Source organism: Homo sapiens, chromosome 1, assembly GCF_000001405.40.
Source record: "Homo sapiens chromosome 1, GRCh38.p14 Primary Assembly".
Classification (NCBI taxonomy): domain Eukaryota; kingdom Metazoa; phylum Chordata; class Mammalia; order Primates; family Hominidae; genus Homo; species Homo sapiens.
The window spans coordinates 180,689,126-180,707,491 of NC_000001.11; the positions used below are offsets into that span (position 1 = coordinate 180,689,126).

The 18,366-nt window shown below is 35.7% G+C and overlaps 1 protein-coding gene across 4 annotated transcripts in view, besides 1 other annotated feature; it reads left to right on the plus strand.

Moving 5' to 3' along the window:
• XPR1 (xenotropic and polytropic retrovirus receptor 1) overlaps positions 1-18,366 on the plus strand; it is a 258,258-nt gene that overhangs the window by 57,104 nt on the left and 182,788 nt on the right. The gene's annotated exons all lie outside the window — the stretch shown is intronic.
• Positions 9,775-9,975: a silencer, noted in NCBI's record as "peak486 fragment used in MPRA reporter construct". NCBI's record gives its function as "represses an SCP1 promoter by STARR-seq MPRAs in K562 erythroleukemia cells {active_cell/tissue: K562}" and the evidence as "EXISTENCE:reporter gene assay evidence [ECO:0000049][PMID:32103011]".

Consider the following 18,366-nt stretch of genomic DNA (forward strand, 5'->3'; position numbering starts at 1 on the left):
TAATGGAAAGGGACATTAAAAGATAATTTTGCTTAACCTTTGTTTTAGATTTGTGCATTCTGAGACCACTTTAAGGTTGCATGACTCAGTAATGACAGTTGGGATTATTAATGCTCTATTTGACAACAAAAGAGAATTCTGGAGATTAATATAAAAAGACTTTTTAAAAAATGACTTTGCATTTTTCTCTAAATGATATATTTGAATATAATTTTAATTGGACATTTCCTTGTGTCTCTATTTTTAAAAGATTTAAGAATTTTTTAAAACATTACTTTGAAAAATACTAGACTATTTAACTTGTTAGAAAAAAGCAAATTGTCTCTTTCAATAAATTTCTCTCCTAATTTTTTTATTACTCCATATAGTTCCCAGAAGTATTGGGGAAGGTTTATAGAATAAGATAGCACATATTAGATAACAGTAGATACAGAGCTTAGAATAAGGGGAAAATGAAGACAGAATAGTGAGAGTAAAACTAGAGTAAATTTAATACATAGAATAGATACCATGAGGATTCTGGAACAGAAAAAGAACATCAGGCATAAACTAGAGAAATCTGGGTAATGTATGGACTTTAGTTAATAATAATGTATCATTATTGATTCATTGATTGCGACAAATGTACCATATTTATGTAAGACGTTAATGATAGGGGCAGCTGGGTTTAGAGGATATTGGAACTCTCTGTACTATCTTTGCACCTTTTCTGTAAATCTAAAACTATTCTAAGGTTAAAAGTTTATTTGCCCATTTGTGATGGCTGACACCTGTAATCCCAGAACTTTGGGAGACCAAGGCTGGCATATTACTTGAGGTCAGGAGTTTGAGACCAGCCTGGACAACATGGTGAAATCACGTCTCTACTAAAAATACAAAAATTAGCTGGGTGTGGTGGCGCATGCCTGTAAACCTGGCTACTCTGGAGGCTAAGCAATGAGAATTGCTTGAACCCAGGAGATGAAGGTTGCAGTGAGCTGAGATTGTGCCACTGCTCTCTGGCCTGGGTGAAACAGCAAGACTCTGTCTAAAAAAAAAAAAAAAGTGTATTTAAATAAAATAGATACCGTAAGGTTTTGTACCATTGACAGAATGTAAATTCAGCTCTGAATTTTCAGAGGATAGAAGAAGACATTATTTCAAAATTGATATAAGGTGAATTTACACCAGTTCCTCAGAAAAAGTAGCTTTTACTGAACATGAAATTTGAGAGGAAATTCTTCCTTGGACTCTCATGGAGAGTCTTTTGTTTCTGTGTTGAACAGTATCTCCAACAATAGTTTTACAAAGAACATGACGGTGAGTTTTAATAGGCTGCTTCTTATAATCCAAGGATGTAATGTAAAAATGTATTACTATGAACTACAATTCCTAAATAATCTGGTCTTAAATCATAAATGTCCATGATCTCACCTTCTACATTTCCCCCATTTTTTCCTAGGCTCCTTTCTTTACCTAAATCAGGCCAAGCTTCCTCTTGCAGTCTAATATAGCCACTTAGTCACTTTATATTGCTTCACTGTAGTTTATTTCTTTGCATAGCATTTGTTACTTACTGATATCTTGTTTTAAAAATTGATTAATTCTCTTTCTGGGATGTAAGTCTCTTGTGACTAGTGATTATGACTTTTTAAAATTTTTATATCTAGTATCCGAAATAGGCATGTAGTTTACATATTTACTTGACACATCATTGAGTAGGAATAAAAGTGAATCCTTTTCCTCAATTCCTTGAAGCCAATGTACTGTTTATAAAAAAAGGAGTAAATTAACCTAGGTTGCTTCTCTATGTGTGTGTGTGTTTTAAAAATTTTTCAAATTCTCTTGATCTATTATGTTTAGATGCAGAATTTTACCTGCTGGTTAGATGGCCAAACATATTATTAGTAGTTGTTGTTTTACAGTACTGGCATTTTGGTTTCATAAGGTATAGTCTGAGATGACACATACGGTATTTTTTAAAATTAGTAGAGGAGCAGATGATACAAGATTATAATTTTAAAGGTTTTTTGTTTTTGTGGCATCATGTTTTATTGCTGAGAAACTATATTTTATGAAGTATTGAGAGACTATGTATTTTGTCAAAACACCAATTAAACCGTTTCTTTTTGTGTTTTTATGTTTAGTATGCCTCCTTTCAAAGATACATGAAATTGGCATAGATTTGAAAGACCATATGTGAGTTGTTAGAGGATTTTTTGATATATATCTACTCAGTGGAATGTATTTTTTAGACTATTTAAATTAAAATAGACCTATTGCTTGATAGTTTTCCTTGTATATTTTGCTTATCTTTTTATCTTACAATACATTCCTTTTGATGGAGAGTGTACATAGCTAATGTTAGCTTAATTCATCTCTGACTCAGCTTAATACAGCTATCTGACTTTCTGAAATTGGATGAATAAATAGAGATAAGGACATAAGTAACTGGCCACCACACTAGTCTCTGTTTTTCTGCCATTTCTTCTTTAGTCTCCCTGTTCCCTCTCCAGTCTTGTGAACAGGTTTTGTTAGAAATTTTGGCTTAGGTTCTCTCTGCTTATTCTGCTTGGTTAGCAGATGTGTTACAGTCTCCCTAAGCTCCTTAGAATTCAGTTCTTAGTGACATTGAAGATGAAAGTGCGCTTGTAAATTATTCATTCTTATTATACGCTTCAATGGACAGGGTCTACTTCAAGCATCTTCTTCCATGTCACCCCTGTCCCTAGATCTTTGTTGTTTTAACAGATGTGAGCTTGCTTTTTAATTCTGGAGAATGGAAGACTGAATTGCATTTCTAAAATTCATGAAGTAGTTTTTGCATTTATAGGATTACTGTCAAATATGTGCATTTATATAACATTACTTTTTCATGTTATTTTAAATCTTGTCCCCTCTCCCCAGTTTCCACTTTGTTATCCTGCATATTTGTCTCTAAAAAAATTATTTACATGACTTTTCTGACCTAGCTATAAAACAGTTTGATGTTTATAATAGGCAGAGCTATATTTAATTTGCTACATTTTCAGCTGGGCAAAGGCAGGAGAGTAGCTTTTCTAAGTTCCATTTTTCTGTTAGCATTGTTTTGTCAGTAAGGTACCCTAGTCATTTATTGTCTCTGCTTGAAGTGGGATAATGTTGCATGAGAAGACTATACAAGGGACTAGTAGTGAGGTTAACCCCAAGAATGAAGTGGTAGATCTATCTGTAGGCACTGAGCCTTGTTGTGAGAGCCATAAAGAAATACAGATGGCTAAGAGTGGAGGTTGAGACAATAGCAAGCCAACAAAATAGTTGCCATCTCTTTAAGAATGATATATTTTATTCTTCATTAACTCCCTTTAGGAAGGATGAAAAGTTCTGATTGATACTCAAAGTCATGTAATGGAGTTATTTCTGAAGGGTGTGCCTTATTATTTGTTTCATGTTTACATTGGAAAGTGATTTGCATATTCATTTGTATTATGAAAATGACAGCTTGTAGATAACAAGAACTATTAACTTCAAAAATGGACTCGTATATTCTATAAAGATGTCACTAACTTCAGTCTAGTTCACTAAGAGGCAAGGTGTACTTCTGAAGAACAAATAGCATTGCTATTTGATTTGAAGAAATATCTACTTCTTTTTCACAGAAAGAGAATTAGATCTAATTTAATGCTCATTGTTATGACGTTAGATAATGATATAAATAGTAAAATTATGTTATGATAACAAATATAATTTTTAGTAGCATACAGGTAGGAAGCTGGAAGCAATGAAGAAATGTTATAAACACGGGTTTATAATCCTTTCTTTGTGACACTGTTTAATGCATCTTTAGTGTTTAAAATATTTCATCACCTGTAAAAGTCACTAATATATGAAGTCACTGTTTTAGTTATCACACAGTGTCATTTCCTTTTTATTGTCAAGTTTGAGAGAAGGTAATGAAATAGGGAAGAGATAATGATAAAACATTAAATCATGGAACAAAAAAGTTCTGGGAATTACAAATGTAGACTCTACGTTGTAGAGGAAAAGATACCAGCAGATGAATCTGATGATTTCAGATAGAATTTCCTGAAGTAGACATTAGAAAGCTGGAGCAATTGTTAAAGTTTAAAGTTGGCAGAGTTCAAAGTAAGGGAAGTTCCTTTTTGAGTTGTTTTCATTTTCTTTAGGCAAGACCACCTAAGGTGTTCAGTAAAGAAACAACGAGAAAGCTAGAAAGAAGCATATGAAGTTGTGATCAGAGAGTAGTGGTTTTCCAGTATTAGGTATCATTGAATAAAGGAAAAATTCCTGCCACTGAAATGGAAGAGATACTCTAAAAATCATTTGGAGTAGCATTGACTTCAGTTATCTGAGGCAGTATGAAGAAAAAAAGGTAGTCAATAATTGGAAAAGTAGATAACCTCTTGCATTAGTTTCCTTCGGTTGCTGTAAAAACCACAGACCTGGTGGCTTAAAATGACAGACATTTATTCTCTCACAGTTTTGGAGGCCAGAAGTCTGAAATCAAGGTGTCTGCAGGGCTACCTTCCTTCTGGAATTCTGAGAGAGTATCTGTTTTTTGCCTCTTACAGCTTCTGGTGGTTGCTGGCTTTCTTGGCTTGTGGCCACTCCAATCCGTGCCTCTTTACCTTGTCCTTTGTCTGTCCTCTGGGTATCTAAGGACATTTGTCATTGGATTTAAGGTCTGCCTGGACAATCCAGGATGATGTCATCTCAAGATCTATAATTACATTACAAAGACTCTTTTTTCCAATAAGATCACATCACAGATTCTAGGGATTTGATATAGATATCTTTTTTTGGTGGAGGGGAAGGAACACTTTTGTGCCTACCATATTCTTAAAAAAATTTTTGTTGTTGTTGTTGTTTTAGAGACAGGATCTTACTCTGTCATCTAGGCTGTAGTGCAGTGGCAAAATCATAGCCCACTGCAGCCTCAAACTCCGGAGCTCAGTAGACTGTCCCACCTCAGTCTCCCGAGTAGCTAGGACTACAGGCGCATGCCAGTGTGCCTGGATAATTAAAGAAATTTTTTTGTAGAGACAGGGTCTTGCTATGTTGCCTAGGCTGATCTTGAACTCCTGGGGTCAAGCGATCCTCTTGCCTGGCCTCCCAAAGTGCTGGGATTATAGGCATGAGCTGCCATTCTCAGCCTACTATATCCATGCTTTTACATTTAAAAAAATATTATAATGTTCTTCAAATTGTGAACTAGAGCTTGAAGTCCAAATGAGGCATTTGCTTCACGTGTTTCTACCTGCTGTATTGTGAAAGGAGCAGTCAAATGGTGTCAAAGAAATATTCAGGTATGATCCCGGAAAGTGAAAAACTGGCCAATAGATATTAGTCAGACTTGAGTGTATAAAATATAGTAAAGGACCATTTATCTGCCTCTAGTGATAGTTACCTGCAAAATATTCCAAGTTATACCTCAAATTTATCTTTATTTCTGATATCCTTCCTGGGGGAAACAAGGACCACAAATCTCTTTTTAGTACACTGGATCAATGTATTCCCCTTCCCCAATTTTTTTTTTGATTGTGGAACTTTTTAAAGACATAAAAAAGTGGTGAGGATGTATAAAGAACCCCATTTTTCAACAATCGAGCTTTAACCATTATCAGTGAAGGGGCTAATCTTGTGTCACCCCGACTCCTGATTGTTGTGTGCACACACACACACACACACACACACACACACCATGTTTTCTTTATCTGTTCATCTGTTGATTCCATATCTTGGCTATTGTGAATAGTGCTGCAATATGCATGTTGGTGCTGATATCCCTTTGATATACTAATTTTCTTTTCTTTGGATTGGGGGATTAAGTGGTCATTCTATTTTTAGTTTTTTTCAGAAACCTCCAATCTGTCGTTCCCAGTGGCTGTAGTAATTTACATTCCCACCAACAGTGAATAAGAGTCCCCTTTTCTCTGCATCTTCAGCAGTATTGTTATTTTTGTCTTTTTGATAATAGTTATTCTAACTGGGGTAAGTTGATATCTCATTGTGGTTTTGATTTGCGTTTCCCTGATGATTAGTGATATTGAGCACTTTTTTCATATACCTATTGGCCATTTGTATGTCTTCTTCTGAGAAATGTCCATTCAAATCCTTTGCCCACTTTGTAATGGGATTGCTTTTTCATTATTGAGTTGTTTGAGTTCCTTGGGTATTCTGGATACTATTTGCTTTTCAGATGAATAGTTTGCAGATATTTTCTCCCACTCTGCAGGTGCTGTCTTCACTCTGTTGATTGTTTCCTTTGCTGTGCAGAAGCCTTTTAGTTTAATGTAGTCCCATTTGTGTGTGTGTGTGTGTGTGTGTGTGTGTGTGTATGCGCGCGCACGCGCGCGCTTTTGTTGCCTGCGCTTTTGAAGTCTTAGTCATGAAATGTTTTCTCAGACCAATGTTCTGAAACATATCCCTTTGTTTTCTTCTGGTAGTTTTATAGTTTCAGGTCTTACATTTAAGTCTTCTGTCCATTTTGAGTTGATTTTTGTGTGTGGTGAGAGAGGGGGATCTAGTTTCATTTTTCTGCATATGGATATCCAGTTTTCCCAGCACCATTTTTTGAAGAGGTTGTTCTTTCTCCAGTGTATGTTCTGGAGCCTTTGTTGATAGTCAGTTTTCTGTAAATATGTGGGTTTATTTTTGGATTCTTTATTCTGTTCCAATGGCCTGTGTGTATGTAGTTAGTCCAGTATCTTGCTATTTTGGTTACTATAGCTTTGTAGTATACTTTGAAGTCAGGTAGTGTGATGCCTTCAGCTCTGTTCTTTTTGCTTGGGATTGCTTTGGTTATTCGGAGTCTTTTGTGGTTCCATGCAAATTTTGGGATTTTTTTTTCTATTTCTGTGAAGAATATCATTGCATTTTGATAGGGATTGTATTGAATCTGTAGATTGCTTTGGGTAGTGTGGTCATTTTAATGCTATTAATTCTTCTGACCCATGAGCATGGGATATCTTTCTGTTTGTGTTGTCTTCAGTTTCTTTCATTGGTGTTTTGTAGTTCTCATCGTAGAGGCCTTTTGCCTCCTTCGTTAAATTTATTCCTGGGTGTGTGTGTGTGTGTGTGTGTGTGTGTGTGTGTGTGTGTGTGTATATATATATATATATATATATTATGGTAGCTATTGTAAATGAGATTGCTTTCTTTTCAGTTCATTATTGGTGTATAGAAACCCTACTGATTTTTTGTATGCTTATTTTGTATCCTACAACTTTACGGAATTTATCACTTCTAAGAGGTTTTTTTGGTGGAATTGTTAGGTTTTTCTATATCTAAGATCATGTCATCTATAAAGCAGGACAACTTGACTTTCTCATTTCCAATTTGGGTTCCTTTTTATTTCTTTCTCTTGCCTGATTGCTCTGGCTAGGAATTTCAGTACTATGTTGAATAAGAATGGTGAAAGTGGGCAAGAATGGTGAAAGTGGGCAAGAATGGTGAAAGTGGGCAGTTGTTACAAGGAAGGCTTTCACCTTTCCCCTTCAGTATGATGTTGGCTGTGGGTTTGTCATATATGGCCTTTATTATGTTGAGATATGCTCTTTCTATGCCTAGTTTGTTGAGAGTTTTTATCATGAAAGGACATTGAATTTTATCAGATGCTTTTTTGTGTGTGTCTATTGAGATGAGCATACGGTTTTTGTTTTCTGGTGATGTGATATTTCACATTTATTGATTTGTGTATGTTGAGCCATCCTTGCATCCCTGGGATAAATCCCACTTGATCGTGGTGCATTATCTTTTTGATGTATTGATGGATTTTGTTTGTTAATATTTTGTTGAGGATTTTTGCTTCTGTGTTTGTCAGAGATATTGGCCTGTAGTTTTTTTGTTGTGTCTTTGTCTGATTTTGTTATTGGGGTAATGCTGGCCTTGTAGAATGAGTTAGGAAGAGTTTTCTCCTCTCCAGTTTTTTGGAATAGCTTGAGGAGAATTATTGTTAGTTATTTACAGGTTTGGTAGGATTCAGCAGTAAAGCCATCCAATCCTGGAATTTTCTTGGTTGGGAGACTTTTTATTACTGATTCAGTCTTACTACTCGTTATTGGTCTTTTCAGGTTTTCTGTTTCTTCCTGATTCAATCTTGGTAGGTTGTTCAGGAACTTAAACATTTTCTCCAAGTTTTAAAATTTGTTAGCATTAATTTGTTCATAATAGTGTCTAATAAGTTTGTATTTCTGTGGGATCAGTTATAGTGTCTCCTTTTTTCTTTCTAATTTTATATGGGTCTTCTTTTTTTCATGGTTAGTCTGACTAGTAGTTTATCCATTTTATTTTTTCAAAAACTTTATTTTGCTGATTGTTTGTATATTTTTTTAGTCTCTATTTTTGTTTATTTCTGCTCTGATCTTTATTATTGCTTTTCTTCTCCTGATTTGGGTTTGGCTTGTTCTTGCTTTTCTAGTTCATTGAGGTGTATCATTAAATAATTTGAAATCCCTCTACTTGTTTGATATAGGTATTTATTGCTATAAACTTTCCTCAGCACTGTTTTAACAGTGTCCTGTAGGTTTGGGTATGTTGTGGTTCTATTTTCACTTGTTTTAAGACATTTAAAATTTTTCTTTTTAATTTCTGTATTGACCCAGTGGTCATTGAGGAGCATGTTGTTAATTTTCATGTATTTGTATAGATTCCGAAGTTCCTCTTGTTATTGATTTATAGTTTTATTCCATTGTGGTCTGAGAAGTTACTTGACATTATTTTGATTTTTTAAAAATTCTTGAGATTTGTTTTGTGGCCTAACATATGGTCTGTCCTAGAGAATGTTCCATATGCTGATGAGAAGAATGTTTATTCTGCACCTGTTGGGTGAAATGTTCTATAAGTGTCTGTTGGGTCCATCTAGTTTAAGTGCAGTTAAGATGTTTATTTGTTTATTTTCTGTCGAGATGATTGATCCAATGGTGAGAGTAGGGTGTTGAAGTTCCCAACTATTAGTGTATTGGAATCTCTTTCTTTAGATCTAGCATTTGCCTTAAATATCTGGGTGCTCTGGTGTTGGGTACATACATGTTTAGAATTGTTACATCTTCTTGCTGAATTGATTTTTTTATCATTATTTAATGACCTTCTTTGTCTCATTTTACAGTTTTTGACTTAAAGTTTGTTTTATCTGATAACAACTCCTGCTCACTTTTGGTTTCCATTTGCGGGAGATATTTTTTTCCTTCCCTTTCAGTCTATATGTGTCTTTACAGGTGAAATGGGTTTCTGGTAGGCAGCATATAGGTGGATCATGTTTAAAAAATCCATTCAGCTAGTATGTATCTTTTAAGTGGGGAATTTAATCCATTTACACTCAAGGTTATTATTGATAGGTGAGGACTTGTTCCTGTAATTTTGTTCATTATTTTCTGTTAATTTTATACATCCTTTGCTTTTTTCTTCTGTTCTTGTTTATCATGTGGTTTGGTGGTTTTCTGTAGTGACAACATTTGTCTCCATTTTCTTTCTCATTTTTGTGTATCTGCTGTACCAGTGAATTTTATACTTCAGTGTGTTTTCATGATGGTAGATATTATTCTTTAGCTTTCAGATGTAGAATTCCCTTAAGTATTTTAGGACTGGTTTAGTGGTGATGAATGAATGCCCTCAGTTTTTGCACATTTGGAAAAAAAAATATTTCTCCTTCATTTTTTAGGGATGGCTTTGTTGGGCATAGTATTCTTGGCTGGCAGGTTTTTTTCTTCCAGCACTTTGAATATATCATCTCATTATCTTCTGACCTGTAAGGTTTGTAGTGAGAAATCTGCTGTTAGTCTGATGGTAATTACTTGATACGTGACTTGACAATTTTCTCTTGATGTTTTCAGAATTCTCTCTTTGTCTTTGACTTTTGATAGTTTGACTATAATATGCTTGGCGGAGGACCTTTGTGGGTTGAATCTGTTTGGGAATTATTGAGCTTCTGGATCTGGATAACCAAATCTCTTGCAAGTCTTGGAGAGTTTTCAGTTATTTTGTTAAATAGGCTTTTTATATCTTTACCCATCATTTCACCTTCTGGGATTCCTAGAATTAGAATATTTGTCTGCTTTATAGTGTCCCATATGTCACATAGGCTTTCTTTAGTTTCTTTTATTCTTTCTTTTTTTTTTTTTTTTTATTATACTCTAAGTTTTAGGGTACATGTGCACATTGTGCAGGTTAGTTACATATGTATACATGTGCCATGCTGGTGCGCTGCACCCACTAACGTGTCATCTAGCATTAGGTATATCTCCCAATGCTATCCCTCCCCCCTCCCCCGACCCCACCACAGTCCCCAGAGTGTGATATTCCCCTTCCTGTGTCCAAGTGATCTCATTGTTCAATTCCCACCTATGAGTGAGAATATGCGGTGTTTGGTTTTTTGTTCTTGCGATAGTTTACTGAGAATGATGGTTTCCAATTTCATCCATGTCCCTACAAAGGACATGAACTCATCATTTTTTATGGCTGCATAGTATTCCATGGTGTATATGTGCCACATTTTCTTAATCCAGTCTATCATTGTTGGACATTTGGGTTGGTTCCAAGTCTTTGCTATTGTGAATAGTGCCGCAGTAAACATACGTGTGCATGTGTCTTTAGAGCAGCATGATTTATAGTCCTTTGGGTATATACCCAGTAATGGGATGGCTGGGTCAAATGGTATTTCTAGTTCTAGATCCCTGAGGAATCGCCACACTGACTTCCACAATGGTTGAACTAGTTTACAGTCCCACCAACAGTGTAAAAGTGTTCCTATTTCTCCACATCCTCTCCAGCACCTGTTGTTTCCTGAGTTTTTAATGATTGCCATTCTAACTGGTGTGAGATGATATCTCATAGTGGTTTTGATTTGCATTTCTCTGATGGCCAGTGATGATGAGCATTTCTTCATGTGTTTTTTGGCTGCATAAATGTCTTCTTTTGAGAAGTGTCTGTTCATGTCCTTCGCCCACTTTTTGATGGGGTTGTTTGTTTTTTTCTTGTAAATTTGTTTGAGTTCATTGTAGATTCTGGATATTAGCCCTTTGTCAGATGAGTAGGTTGCGAAAATTTTCTCCCATGTTGTAGGTTGCCTGTTCACTCTGATGGTAGTTTCTTTTGCTGTGCAGAAGCTCTTGAGTTTAATTAGATCCCATTTGTCAATTTTGGCTTTTGTTGCCATTGCTTTTGGTGTTTTGGACATGAAGTCCTTGCCCACGCCTATGTCCTGAATGGTAATGCCTAGGTTTTCTTCTAGGGTTTTTATGGTTTTAGGTCTAACGTTTAAATCTTTAATCCATCTTGAATTGATTTTTGTATAAGGTGTAAGGAAGGGATCCAGTTTCAGCTTTCTACATATGGCTAGCCAGTTTTCCCAGCACCATTTATTAAATAGGGAATCCTTTCCCCATTGCTTGTTTTTCTCAGGTTTGTCAAAGATCAGATAGTTGTAGATATGTGGCATTATTTCTGAGGGCTCTGTTCTGTTCCATTGATCTATATCTCTGTTTTGGTACCAGTACCATGCTGTTTTGGTTACTGTAGCCTTGTAGTATAGTTTGAAGTCAGGTAGTGTGATGCCTCCAGCTTTGTTCTTTTGGCTTAGGATTGACTTGGCGATGCGGGCTCTTTTTTGGTTCCATATGAACTTTAAAGTAGTTTTTTCCAATTCTGTGAAGAAAGTCATTGGTAGCTTGATGGGGATGGCATTGAATCTGTAAATTACCTTGGGCAGTATGGCCATTTTCACGATATTGATTCTTCCTACCCATGAGCATGGAATGTTCTTCCATTTGTTTGTGTCCTCTTTTATTTCCTTGAGCAGTGGTTTGTAGTTCTCCTTGAAGAGGTCCTTCACATCCCTTGTAAGTTGGATTCCTAGGTATTTTATTCTCTTTGAAGCAGTTGTGAATGGGAGTTCACTCATGATTTGGCTCTCTGTTTGTCTGTTGTTGGTGTATAAGAATGCTTGTGATTTTTGTACATTGATTTTGTATCCTGAGACTTTGCTGAAGTTGCTTATCAGCTTAAGGAGATTTTGGGCTGAGACGATGGGGTTTTCTAGATAAACAATCATGTCGTCTGCAAACAGGGACAATTTGACTTCCTCTTTTCCTAATTGAATACCCTTTATTTCCTTCTCCTGCCTGATTGCCCTGGCCAGAACTTCCAACACTATGTTGAATAGGAGCGGTGAGAGAGGGCATCCCTGTCTTGTGCCAGTTTTCAAAGGGAATGCTTCCAGTTTTTGCCCATTCAGAATGATATTGGCTGTGGGTTTGTCATAGATAGCTCTTATTATTTTGAAATACGTCCCATCAATACCTAATTTATTGAGAGTTTTTAGCATGAAGGGTTGTTGAATTTTGTCAAAGGCTTTTTCTGCATCTATTGAGATAATCACGTGGTTTTTGTCTTTGGCTCTGTTTATATGCTGGATTACATTTATTGATTTGTGTATATTGAACCAGCCTTGCATCCCAGGGATGAAGCCCACTTGATCATGGTGGATAAGCTTTTTGATGTGCTGCTGGATTTGTTTTGCCAGTATTTTATTGAGGATTTTTGCATCAATGTTCATCAAGGATATTGGTCTAAAATTCTCTTTTTTGGTTGTGTCTCTGCCCGGCTTTGGTATCAGAATGATGCTGGCCTCATAAAATGAGTTAGGGAGGATTCCCTCTTTTTCTATCGATTGGAATAGTTTCAGAAGGAATGGTACTAGTTCCTCCTCGTATTTGATTCTTCTCTCTTTTTTTCTTTATTAGTCTTGCTAGCGGTCTATCAATTTTGTTGATCCTTTCAAAAAACCAGCTCCTGGATTCATTGATTTTTTGAAGGGTTTTTTGTGTCTCTATTTCCTTCAGTTCTGCTCTGATTTTAGTTATTTCTTGCCTTCTGCTAGCTTTTGAATGTGTTTGCTCTTGCTTTTCTAGTTCTTTTAATTGTGATGTTAGGGTGTCAATTTTGGATCTTTCCTGCTTTCTCTTGTAGGCATTTAGTGCTATAAATTTCCCTCTACACGCTGCTTTGAATGCGTCCCAGAGATTCTGGTATGTGGTGTCTTTGTTCTCGTTGGTTTCAAAGAACATCTTTATTTCTGCCTTCATTTCGTTATGTACCCAGTAGTCATTCAGGAGCAGGTTGTTCAGTTTCCATGTAGTTGAGCGGCTTTGAGTGAGATTCTTAATCCTGAGTTCTAGTTTGATTGCACTGTGGTCTGAGAGATAGTTTGTTATAATTTCTGTTCTTTTACATTTGCTGAGGAGAGCTTTACTTCCAACTATGTGGTCAATTTTGGAATAGGTGTGGTGTGGTGCTGAAAAAAATGTATATTCTGTTGATTTGGGGTGGAGAGTTCTGTAGATGTCTATTAGGTCTGCTTGGTGCAGAGCTGAGTTCAATTCTTTCTTTCTTTATTTTTTTTTGTACTGACTGGGTTATTTAAAAAGACTTGTCTTCAAGTTCAGAAATTCTTTCTTCTGCTTGATCTAGTCTGTTGTTGAAGCTCTCGATTGTATCTTTTATTTCATTCATTGACTACTTCAGTTCTAGGATTTTTTTGATTTTTAAAAATGGTATCTTTTTGTTGACTTTCTCATTCCGATCATGAATTATTTTCCTGATTTCTTTATATTGTTTATCTGTGTTCTCATTGAGTTTCTTTAATATTATTTTGAATTGTTTTTCAGGCATTTCATAAATTTCTCTTTTTTGGGATTTTTTTTCTTTTTACTGGAGAACTTGTGTTTCTTTGGAGATATCATATTTTCTTGCTTTTTCATGTTTCTTGCATCCTTATGCTGATATCTGCACCTCTGATTTAACAGTCACTTCTTCCAATTTTATGGATTGACTTTCTTAGAGAAAGACTTTTTCCTGTAGGCATAACTGTAGTGTTGATTGGGTAGGTTGCTTTGGTTTTGATTCTGGGTAGGGCAGTAGTGTAGTTTCTGAATTATTTATGTAGCTTTAATTAGTGTCAGTGGTATCTATGAGTTTCTCATTGGCTTAGACTGTGTTTTTTAGTGAAGGCTGTTTGAGGCTTTGCTAGGGATGAAAACACTAGACCAGCTAGTCCTTGGGCACCAGTGGTGGTGGCAGTGGGCAAGGTGGGCAAGGTGGACATGTCCCCAAGCCACTGGATGGCATGTGTGGATGCCAGCAGTAGTGATCAGGGTGGGTTGATTCCCAGGTCACTAGTTGGCACGCTCAGACTCAAGCAGTGGTGGTGATGGGTGGAGTGGGCTTGTCTTCAGTTCCTAGACATCATATATGTATGTCAGCAGTGGGCAGAGCAGACCTATCTGCAGGCCTCTGGATAACGCATGCGGGTGCCAGCATCAGTTGGGTGGGTATTTCCCAGTTCCTAGGCTCCCAGATGATGTGCGCAGGTGTTGGCCATGGTTAGCAGGGCAGACCTCTTCTCAGGCCCCTGATTATGCACATAATGCACCAATGGTAGGCAGGGCAGATCAGTCCTCAGTCATCCTGATGACAGGCGCAGCTACTGGCAGCAGTGGTGAACAAGGGCAGGACTACCCTCATGCCCCCAGATTTTTTACATGGCCCCTAATTGTTTTATGTGTATTTTAAGATTTATTAGCTTGAATAGGGACCCAAATAAGATTCATCATACAATATATTGTGATTGATTAGTAGGTCTCTTAATTTTTCATTGGTTTGTAATGACACCATTTGGTACAGAAGGCACTAGCCATATGTAGCTATTTACATTGATTAAAACTGAAATGAATTAATCTGGTCCTTAGTTGCCCTACCCATATATCGAGTACTCAGTAGCGATATGAGGTTAGGGGCTACCATACTGGACAGTACAGATTATTTCTCTTATTACAGAAAATTCTGTTTGTTAGAGCTAATTTATAGGTTTCTGCTGCATCTCTTTTTTTTCTTGAATTTTTGGTTTGTCTTTTTACAATTTTATTATTGTTGTTGTTATTTTTTGATGGAAGAAACTGGCTTATTCAGGTTTTTTGTTTTTGTCTCCCAGAGTCTGGATTTTGCTGATTGTACTCCTGTGGTGCATCTTAGCATAGTTTCTGTTCTCTTTATTTACAGTAAATTTGTAGTTAAATCTAGAAGCTTGTTTCTATTCTGACTATATATAATGTGTGTATGTATTTTTCTCAAGAACACTATAGGTGCTGGATATATATATATATATATATATATATATATATTATCAGATTATCTGTTTTGTTACTACTGGTGATCATTGCCTAACCCTAGATCTTTTAATTCATTAAGGTTTACAAAATGGTGATATCCTAATGCTCCTGTGTTTATTAGCCAGAATTCTTCTATAAAGGGAAACTTCCCTTTGTCAATTATTTGGTTATTCTTACATACAGATTGTATAGGAAAGATAGCATAAATGCTTAATTATTTCCCTTTGTTTACCTTTTTCAAAATAATGTTGATTCTGTAACATTTTTCCAAAGATGACCAGTGAAACATTTTAAGTGTCTTATTCAATTTGTATATTTCAATATATTTGGTATATTTTGGTACAGTGCAGTTTTATCCCTATTAATGATTAAATTCTCATCTTTGGCCAGTGGGAGCCTATTCAGTTGGTTTTCTCATTCCTTTTGATAGACTCTTAGTATCCTATTATAACTTCTTTTCTATTTGATATTACAAAAATTTCCAGACTTGACATATATATTTCCAGCCTGGGACCTCCAATCAGCCATTTTTCCAGGGACTGTTGGTTGTTTTTTTTTTTTTTTTTTTTTTTTTAAGTAATAATCATGGAATCTTACTTCCTTTTAGACACCACATACTGGACACTGCTTTGGAAGTATCATTGCTACTGGGTTATTCACTGTTTCAGGCTTTCTGTTTCATGGAACAGAAATGCATGCATATATACACTCTTATAAATATAAATGTATATATATATTTTAGGATAAAATTCTTTATTCTTTAAAGCTTAAAGTCTTAGTACACTTTGGATTTGACAAAATGTGTCTACTGTAGCTGAAAAGATAAACTGCGATGATTTTAAGCATTAAGTAATACTCTTAGGCATGGCAACCACAAGCATAACTTTTTGGGATTAGGGTATTGGGGGTGGGGGATCTACCTGTATTGATTAAAATTTCATTTTCTTATTGAAGGTTGAAAGGTGAAAGATTGTTTGTCACCTTCGAAACAGAGTGCCAATTCGTGTTTCCTGATGAGAAATTGACCAGCTATGTGTTTACTGTAAGAGGTGCAATCAGTGAAATTGGAAAAGGAAATTGAATTTATATTGGTGTATTATCCCATGCAGTTAATTTTGCAAATACCCTAATGCACATGAATTTTATTTGAGGTTGAGATGCCTATATTTACTCTGAAACAAAGTGTTGGAAATGTAGTGTGATTAAATACATTTCAAATTTTCTCTTGTTCCACAATTGCTGTGCAGTTCCAAAATATGTTCTTATTAGGTTCCTCACAAAGGAATCTTTTGGCCATTACAACAAGAAAATGAGATAGTTAATTTTAAAGGATACATCAAAATAAGATAATTTACATTGTAAGATTTATTATTTTCACGTTCCTGTTTTTTCTGTATGGGATCCTCTAACATGTTAGCAAAACAATATGTCGTCTTTCTATAAGACTATAATTTCCACTTAAGGAAAACTATGATATGATTCACTCTTGACATGGCAAAAAAAAGTTAGGTTAATAAATTTACAGCAAAGAAGAATTTTTAACAATACAAAAGTAACACAATATATTAGGTAGATATCCTCAGAAGCAGTTTATTCGCAATGGCCATGAAAGAATCTTCCTAAAAGTAGTAGTAAGAGAATGACTAATGGAGAAAAAGGGATTTGAACTGGATCTTGAAGCATGGTTAACATTTAGATAGCCTTAGGAGAGGGCCTTCTAAGCACAGAGAAGCAACAAGACGAAACCAAAAGAATGCACATTTCTAAGACATTCAGGGAAGATTTAGTAGAACACTTAAAATGAAGCATGGAGGGTTATCACTGGAGAATAGTTAGCTGTATGGATAAAGCCAGCTTCCCAAGGAGCTTAAATAATTTAAAAAGTTGGACTTTATTTGGTAGACTAGTGTATTCTAAGATTTGGAGTTACTAGTTTAATGCAGACTGGATTTATAGACCTTCGTGGGTTCCTTGTTCTGATTCAGAAGTATCCATAAAAATATAGGCTTTGTGCTGTCTTGAACTGATTAAGTCTAAGGAATGCAGGCTTCAGGTATGGTCCCATTGAGTTTCCGGCTCTACTTTTTAAAATGATTCTTACAGCTGTGTCATTATCCATGTTGGAGTTCTCCAGGTATCTGTCAGCAACAATTAGAGCCATATGCTCCCTTCTTCAGGAATACTGGAAAAAATAGATGCATGATTTTCAATTAGCTGTATGACCCAGAATATGCATAGAAATACTGTCTTTTTCATGTGAAAATTCACATAACACAAAATAACCATTTTGATTGCATTTAGTACATTCACTGTTGTACAACATCTACATCTATCAAGACACAGAAGCTTTTTTTTTTTTTCCCCGAGGCAGAGTCTCGCACTGTCACCCAGGCTGGAGTGCAGTGGCATGATCTCTGCTCACTGCAACCTCCGCCTTCCGAGTTCAAGCAATTCTCCTGCCTCAGCCTCCTGAGTAGCTGGGATTACAGGTGCAAGCCACCATGCCTGGCTATTTTTTTTTATTTTTTATTTTTAGTAGAGACAGGATTTTACCATGTTGGCCAGGCTGGTCTCGAACTCCTGACCTCGTGATCTGCCCACCTCGATATCCCAAAGTGTTGGGATTACAGGCGTGAACCACCATGGCCAGCCCTACAGAAGCATTCTTAAATGGAATTTATTTAAGCTGAAAACAGTATTTTCTATAAAGTAATATTTTGGCATATGTTTTTCTAGCTAATTTTTCAGTCAATATCAGTTGTAGAAATATGTATTTTAAAAAAGAAATATTTACTTGTATTAAGAGTTAAGATTTCTAATTTTGGAGAATCAACAAAAATAACGGTCAGAATAGAATTTTTATCTTGACAGTAGTTGGAAGAATAGTTACATGGTGAGAAAACCAGGATAGATTTTTAAATCATTTTTTAAAAAACTTTTAAGTTCAGACTTACATGTATAGGTTTGTTACATAGGTAAGTTTAAATCATGGGGATTTGTTGTATAGATTATTTCATCAACCAGGTATTAAGCCTAGTACCCATTAGTTATTTTTCCTGATCCTCTCCCTCCTACCCTCCACCCTCCGATAGGCTAGTGTGTGTTGCTCCCCTCTATGTATCTATGTATTTTCATCATTTAGCTTCCACTTATAAGTGAGAACACAAATAGAATGAAGTGCAGTGGTTTAATTTTAATAGTGGAATTGTTTTTCAAGTTATACCTG